We start from the raw sequence: 7,732 nt of genomic DNA on the forward strand, positions 1-7,732 counted from the left end.
TTGCCTCTGCATTCACAGCCATAGATTAAAGCAATGTATCACTAAATTACCAGACAGTACCTACAAATGGGGAGATTTAATTTTGGCTTCTGTCGGTTGGGAACATAAATGTGGCAACAATTCAATTTGCACACAGTTGAGCATAGATTCACAGCCAACTCTTTTTTTTTTTTTTTTTTGAAAAGGAGTCTCGCTCTGTCACTCAGGCTAGAGTGCAGTGGCACGATCTTGGCTCACTGCAAACTCCACCTCCTGGGTTCAAGTGATTCTCCTGCCTCAGTCTCCCAAGTAGCTGGGACTACAGGCACCCACCACCACACCCAGCTAATTTTTATACTTTTAGTAGAGACAGGGTTTCACCATATTGGCCAGGCTGGTCTCGAACTCCTGACCTTGTGATCCCCCCGCCTCGGCCTCCTAGAGTGCTGGGATTACAGGCATGAGCCATGGTGCCCGGCCCACAGTAAACTCTTTAGTAATTGGTAGACTCTGTGTTTGGAGATTATCTGGCTTCTTCCCTCTCCTTCTCAGCCATTTTAGGGTGCCTTCAGTAGTGCTTCAGCATTTAGATGCAGGTAGGTGTGTACTTAATCAACGTTTAAGGAATGTCTGAGTCCAGGCCAAAGTCAATGTGTATTTTTACATTTCAGAATGCTTTCCATTCCTCATCTCGCTTAATCCCTACAGTATACTTATAAGGAGACAGAAAGTTAATTTGAGCTGGATGTGATGGCAAGTGCCTATTGTCCCAGCTACTCAGGAGGCTGAAGCAGGAGGATTGCTTGAGCCCAGGAGTTCAAGGTTACAGCTATGATCATACCACTGCACTCCACCTTGGGTGACAGAGTGAGACCCTATCTCACGAAAAAAACTGTAAAAAAAAAAAAAAAAAAAAAGAAAAGAAAATTAATTTGAACTCTATTTCACCTGTGGAGAAAACGAGATACAGTGATATTCCCAAAATGGCATACTGAGTTTCACAGGGAGGTCAGGATTAGAACCCAAATATCCCTCCTCTAATTTTCTTTACAGTGGGCCATGATCTCCCCCCAATCCCCTCCATTAATAGGAATTAGAGAAGTTGTAACAGTAAATGAATCCCGAAATGTACAATGGAAAGTTGTACAGTAAATGAATACTGAGATGTAGTGAAGTTGTACAGTAAATTAATACTAAATACTATGTTCATTTTCACAAAAAGTGCTTCTAGTTAATTTACTTCAACATGTTGGGCTAATTTTGGAGATGTACAACATTTGGAACCAGAACAGTCATTTCATTTCTAAGACTCATTGTTTTAAAATTTAACTCTTCATGCCCAAAGAGACATCTTCTTTCACAGGCCCCTTCATGATGAATGATACTCCTTCCTTGACTCTTCCAATGTACAGTCATTTTCCAATGGCAGACTGCAAAAGACTAGATGTTTCAACTAAACCAAACACTAACAGTCCTTTGAGTGCTGAGCACCATAACTGGTGAAGACAATGGCTGCTTGGAAAAGTGACTTTATCCTTAGGAGATTTCTCCATTCCCTTGAGATTTCTTCCCTTTCATACAACTGTGACCACTTTGTTCAGATCTTAGAGGCTCAATCTCTCTATAGTAAAAATAAAATAAAACCTTCTATCTCAAAGGATTTTTTAGTATCTTTATTTAAGGGGTGTGTCTTTTACAGAAACGTAGAAATTTGTAGAGGAGGATGAGAAATTAATATTAGTTCTATGAACAAAATAGCCTTTGCTGTGGTTTGGGTTCTATTCTGTTTTTGATGACTAAGAATCATAACTAATAATGGCCTCTTCAAAATACATTTCTTTTAAGAGCCTGATTGATGGTTATCACAGCTTTCCTCATTCATTCGTTAGTTATCAAGTGACGAAGTCCTTTTAAGTTCATTCCTAAAATTTCCATCTCTGCTTAGAATTTGATAACATTGAACTTAAAATCAGACATTTTGAGAGGCATGTAGAAATTGTGTTTTGTGACCTGTGCTTTCCAGAAATGGCTATGTTAAGATACAAAGTTGTAATTAGAATCACACAGACAGAAATGGTGAATCTTCTTGAGGAAACCTTGAGAAACTTGAATATTTTGCAACTTAGAAAATTGGAAAATGAGAAAATGGAGGAACCAGAGGGTCATAAGACAGTTCTCAAACTGTAGATAGCCTTTAGTAAATTGCCATTTTAACACTTTGTCTGGCTTGCATAATTATCTCCAGCCTTAACTATATTGGCTACCATTCTTTCCTAAACATCAGCTGGCTTCAACAGAGCAGTGATTCTCTGACCCATTAGCACTCACCTTACAAGTCAACATCACATTATCACCCACCACCATTCTTGTATTTCACAATCATGTAAATATCCTACCACAAACCACCCTGCCCTCCCATGAACACCTAACATTACCACTTGTTGGCTGACTTAGCCTCTTCCCTTCCTCAGCCTTGGTATATTATTAGTGGTGTTATGGGAAAAAACAGCATGGAGTCAAGAGAATGAGTCAATCCAAGAGAGGCTGCAGGTCTGAGGAGTTAGGTCACAAGTAGTCATTCTTCCCCATTTTCATTCTGTGACGTGTTTGCCAAAGTGTGGTGGAGTAAAGGGTATGTAGGTCTCAAAAGAGTGCCCTTTGGAACCAATAAGATTCTGATGGTCATGGTGTACCAGGTAGAGATTGCAGGACAGGGCCAGAACTTTCAACGTACTGTTCAATATGTATCCACCTCCTTTCAGAGACTTCCTTCCCTGATCATTCCCCTTTGTGCTCAGCCCTCATATTATCACTCAACCTGCCTGAACTTTTGTCCCATGTAGTGACCTAGAGCAACATTATTTGAAGAGATGGAGATGGAGGGAGAAGTAGAGATAGAGGCCATGAACTGGTAGGAAAGTAGTAAAGGATGGACCACAGGGTGGGCAATTATTAGCAAAAAGGAGGATGTGGCAGGAGTGAGGAGCAGGAAATGAAGACAGGAAGGTAAGGTACTACCAACTCTGGACATAAAGACAAGAGATATTTAACAACAGATAAGATCACCTCCATGAAATTTAGCTGGCATAAATAAGCATTAAGGTCAGAATTTGGAGTTAAATCTAACATCGTTTTTTGCTCACTCCCAAGTTACTATACAAGTCTTTGCCTTATTCTTATTGCGTATACATCATCATCATTATTATTATCATTAAAATATTTGACTATCTACTAAGTACATTAGAAATTCAGGCCATTCCTCAAGTTCCCAGTGAACTTCATGTTTATCTTACACTAGGGAACTAGATGGCTGGAGAGGAGAAGATGTGAAGTCAACATTAGGCTTCGTGAGTCTGATCTATTTCCTCGACCTCCTGGGCTCAAGGAACCCTCCCACCTTAGCCTTCTGAGTAGCTGGGACTACAGGTGCATGCCACGACACCCTGGTTATTTTTTATTTTTTGTAGAGACAGGGTCTCACTATATTGTTCAGGCTAGTCTTGAACTCTTGGCCTCAAGTGATCCTTCCACCTAAGCCTCCCAAAATGTTAGGATTACTGTTGTGAACCACTGCACCTGGCCAGATCTATTTCCTGATACATCTTTATCTCTTAGTAGGCACTCAAGAAATGCTTGGTGAGGGAATGAATGAGTGAGTGATTGTAAAGTGAATACTTCTACTGCCCCGGCAGGATTACCTTTTAGTGAAGACAACATAGACGTGTTCTCCCCCAGCACAAACTTAATGAGGGTGCTACATCTTTTATTTGATAAAATGAATCCATCCTTTCCTTATTCTTTTGCATAGCATTGGTGCAATAACTATGATGGTATAAAAGGAGATACAGTTCTAGACATGTGTAGTGGATGCTGTGGTGAGCCGCACAGATCACCCCAAAGTCATTAGCTTCTCCCAGCTCTGAGTATGTTGACAGCTAAGAGCTCTTAGATGAATCCCACCCACCAACCAGCCCAGAAATCTCCCTCTGCTCAAATGAGCCATCTTGCCCACGAGCATGCACCTTTCCTATGTGCAGCTTGCAACATCAGATGTTCAATGTTGGGGTATAGAGGCCTGGGTCTCATTCTCCAATTTGGGGTACTCTACAAGGAAACCTCAGCACCAAATATCCACATGGGATAATCTAAGCCTTTGTTGTGACTGCATCGCAGCCTAACTTATATTTCTGTGGAACCCTACTTTCTTTATTTCTTCACAGATCCCCAGACGCTCCCCAATAAACTCCTTGCAATGGAATTTAGTTGCAGAGTCTTCTTGGAAAACATGACCCGTAATACAATGTTAATTTTAAAATTAACAATTTTAAAATTGTTACTTCACCACAGCTTGAATTATGTCAAACGTGCTCTATTTTTTCTTCCTTAAGTGTATGCTAACACCATATTACCATTTTAAGACCAGTGGGCTAATGTAGAAATTAAATCCTGCTATTAAGATTTAGTGAAATTGTTTGGATAATTAAACATTAAAGCCTGGATTCCACACAACTTTTCATAAACTATAGAAGTGGCTTAACACCCTCATCCTTTACTCACACATATCCTTCCACCCCTAGTATGACTCAGATATTTCATTGTCAAGGCCACAAAAACAATGACTTCTTGTTCCAGAACAGAAAGAAAAGAGAGACCTATCTTAGAAGTGATTCGAAGGAGGGTGAATCACCTTCAAATTTACAGAGGTATGATTTTAAAATTCACTTGCTTCTTTGATTTCCAGAGTACCTTTTTTCCAAAAGTTCAACACTCAAAAGGTGTTCGTGTTTAACTTTCTCCTTTTCCAATTCTCTAGGTCTCGCCATGTAAGGTTTCTGCAATTAGGAGCCATGAGTCAGATCCATCCCACTTCCAGTCTTACTTTTCTCTGTTTAGAAAACCAGATATTTTCAGAAAGGTGAAATAAATAGGACTGGTTCCAAATTCAATTGTGAAATAAAGTTAGCTTATGATGGTTGTGGACTGTTTCCTTTGTGGCTCCTCCTCCCCCAGCTCTGGGGCCCCCTCAGCCCACGGCCAGCCTCCTGCCCAGTCCCCTCCACAACATACCTCTTTCTTTGTGTATTGCTTTCCCTGTTTGGCTGCTTTCTGTCCGTGACTCAGAACCATTCTGGTGGCTTCCATGTTGCCTGTTGTCACTACAACTGAAAAGTCTCTGTTCTATAGCTCATCATCCAATCATCACCAATTGCTCTCTCTCTCTCAGAGGGCAGCTTTGCCTGCCACACTCATAGTTGTTTAATGAATATTTAAATGAGTGAATGAGTATATAAATAAACTACTCTCTCTCAATACGCTACATAGCCCTCATCCTACCCCTGACTGCTCAAGGTATATGTGTATTAAGATGGGCCTGATGAATGCAGCCTTCCCTTCTGGCATGACCCAATAGGCGAGGAAGGACAGGAATCCCCTGACAAGTGGACGTTGGGGCTGTTTTACTATGTATTTCTAATGCTTTGACATCTGGGACTTTGCTTACCTTGGAGAGATTGCCCCTCCCTCCTAGAGATAGCCAATTCCTGGAGATAGTAATAAACTCACCTGCTAGTATAGCTTTTATATGCAAACCAACCAGTCCAGAGTCCATACCCCAACTATCTCCTTACTGGACTCTCATGGGGCTCTCACATGCTGGGCTACCACCCAGCCACTCCACCCAGGGCCAGGTTCCAGGCAACAAGGGAAAGCTCCTATGCCCCAGAGCCTGCTGAAATTATCGAAACCAGCCAATCCTAAGCCTCCTTACCCTCCTAACCCTTTCCCATTTCTTCCCATGGAGACCATAATAAAGGCCCTTGTCATTTCACCTTTACTCCTTCTGCCTTCTGACTGACCCTGATACTTCCCTATGTGGCCCTGCACAGCATGGCATGCTGCCTCCTCTTGGGAACTGTGAGTAATAAACTATCTTTCAAATGGCTATCTTTTTTGATCTGTTGGCCACCCCATACCTAGAAAACAATAAAAGCTACATTTAAAATCTGTTATCTCAAATACTTTTTCAGCCTCAAAGAAACAGCCTGAATGAAGTCTCTGCCTTCCCGTAAGTTCTAACAATTAGAGAAATGATTATTTCCCAGAGAAGGCAATGTAGTATTAACTTAAGAGAAAAGTAATAGCCAAACTTTACTTAATAGGGATTATCACCCTGGGATCTCAAGCAATCCTAATAATTATTACATTAACCTTAATAAACTAAAGTTCAAAGATAAAAGTAATTTTTCCAGTGTCATAGAGGCACATACATAGAATAGGTGAGACTCAAACCCAAACTTTCCAGTCATTCCTTTGAATCCTGCTTCAGTCCCGCTCCTTCCATCATAGTCTTCCAAATATGTTAACATCTTTTTCAAATTTATATTGTATAATATTATCACTTCCTTCGTACTCTAAAGAAAAAGTATGGCAGTCTTGTCAGTGAGGGCCATTGAATGATTCCACAATGAAAAATAGCTGAGATGTATCCAGACATCTCAACAATAACATAGCCCTGGGGAAATGGATGTAGACCTGGCAAAAGATTCTCAAGACAGAGAAAAAATTGCAGATGTTTATAAGATCTGATTTTTTTTTTTTTTTTTGAGACAGAGTCTCTCTCTGTTGCCCAGGCTGGAGTGCAATGGCAGGATCCAGGATCTCGGCTCACTGCAACCTCCACCTCCCAGGTTTAATCGATTCTCCTGCCTCAGCCTGCTGAGTAGCTGGGATTACAAGCCTGCACCACCATGCCCGGCCAATTTTTTTTTTTTTTTTTGTATTTCTTGTTTTTTTTTTTTAAGGAGAGACAGGGTTTCGCCATGTGGGTCAGGCTGGTCTTGAACTCCTGACCTTGTGATCTGCCCGCCTTGGCCTCCCAAAGTGCTGGGATTATAGGCATGAGTCACTGTGCCCTTCTAAAGATCTGATCTTTAATAAATGGGTGAATCTTTACAAATTTCTTCTTTCTGAAGTCCCATTCTTTGGTTATGAGACCCCCGGAGCTACAAAGAACAGGACTGCCTATGAAGAAGACCGGCAAAAGTAACTGGCAGTTATGAAGAACTACAAGATGAGAAGGAAGGATTCACTTCAATATTATACACATACAAATAAGTATATAAAATAATATAATAAAATTGTTATTGAATGTCAGCAAGTAGAAAAATGCATTGTAAAGATGTTAAGACCCATGTGGTCCATTTTGATTATTGTTTTTGAGGGGAACACTTCAAGAAAAATAATTGAAAAATTAGCACAATATCAAACAAAATGTAGCTCATGGGTCCTACTATAGTTTGGGTTCCAACTATTTTAAGCAAGAAAGAGGAAAAGTTGGGAAAGAATGAGGCGAGAAAAACAATGAAGTAAATCAAATGATAAAAACCAAATGATGAGAGTTAGATTGTGAGTATGGGGGAAAGATGGCTAGATAAAGGGGCTTCAGTGCAGCCAGCAAGTGGTTAAAGGCATGGTTTGAGGAGGGCATCTGGAAGCTGTTAAGAATTTCCACAAAGGGTGGGCAAGAAGAAATAGCTTCCATGGCCAGAGGACCTCAGCTGGATATCAGGAAGAATTTCCTGACCGTAAATGTCAAGAGCTCTCGTTTACAGGATCCAAAGGAGCCTTCTGGGATGTGCCTATCTTAGGAATATTTTTCAGCCTCAAGCGAGAAGCTGTTTGGGTGGTTTTCTGCAGCCCTGGGTTGGACTGTGTGACCTCCACAGAATACCTTGGTCTCGTTGCTGAAGGGCAC

General features: G+C 40.9%; 1 long non-coding RNA gene across 1 annotated transcript; it reads left to right on the forward strand.

Moving 5' to 3' along the window:
- The first annotated feature begins 4,395 nt into the window (after nt 1-4,395).
- On the forward strand, nt 4,396-4,954 carry LOC124902885 (uncharacterized). Its single transcript, XR_007063221.1, has 2 exons — nt 4,396-4,682; nt 4,793-4,954. It is a non-coding gene; the product is annotated as an uncharacterized LOC124902885 (long non-coding RNA).
- The last annotated feature ends 2,778 nt before the right edge of the window (nt 4,955-7,732 follow it).

The sequence above is a fragment of the Homo sapiens genome, chromosome 12, assembly GCF_000001405.40.
Source record: "Homo sapiens chromosome 12, GRCh38.p14 Primary Assembly".
Taxonomy (NCBI): Eukaryota; Metazoa; Chordata; class Mammalia; order Primates; family Hominidae; genus Homo; species Homo sapiens.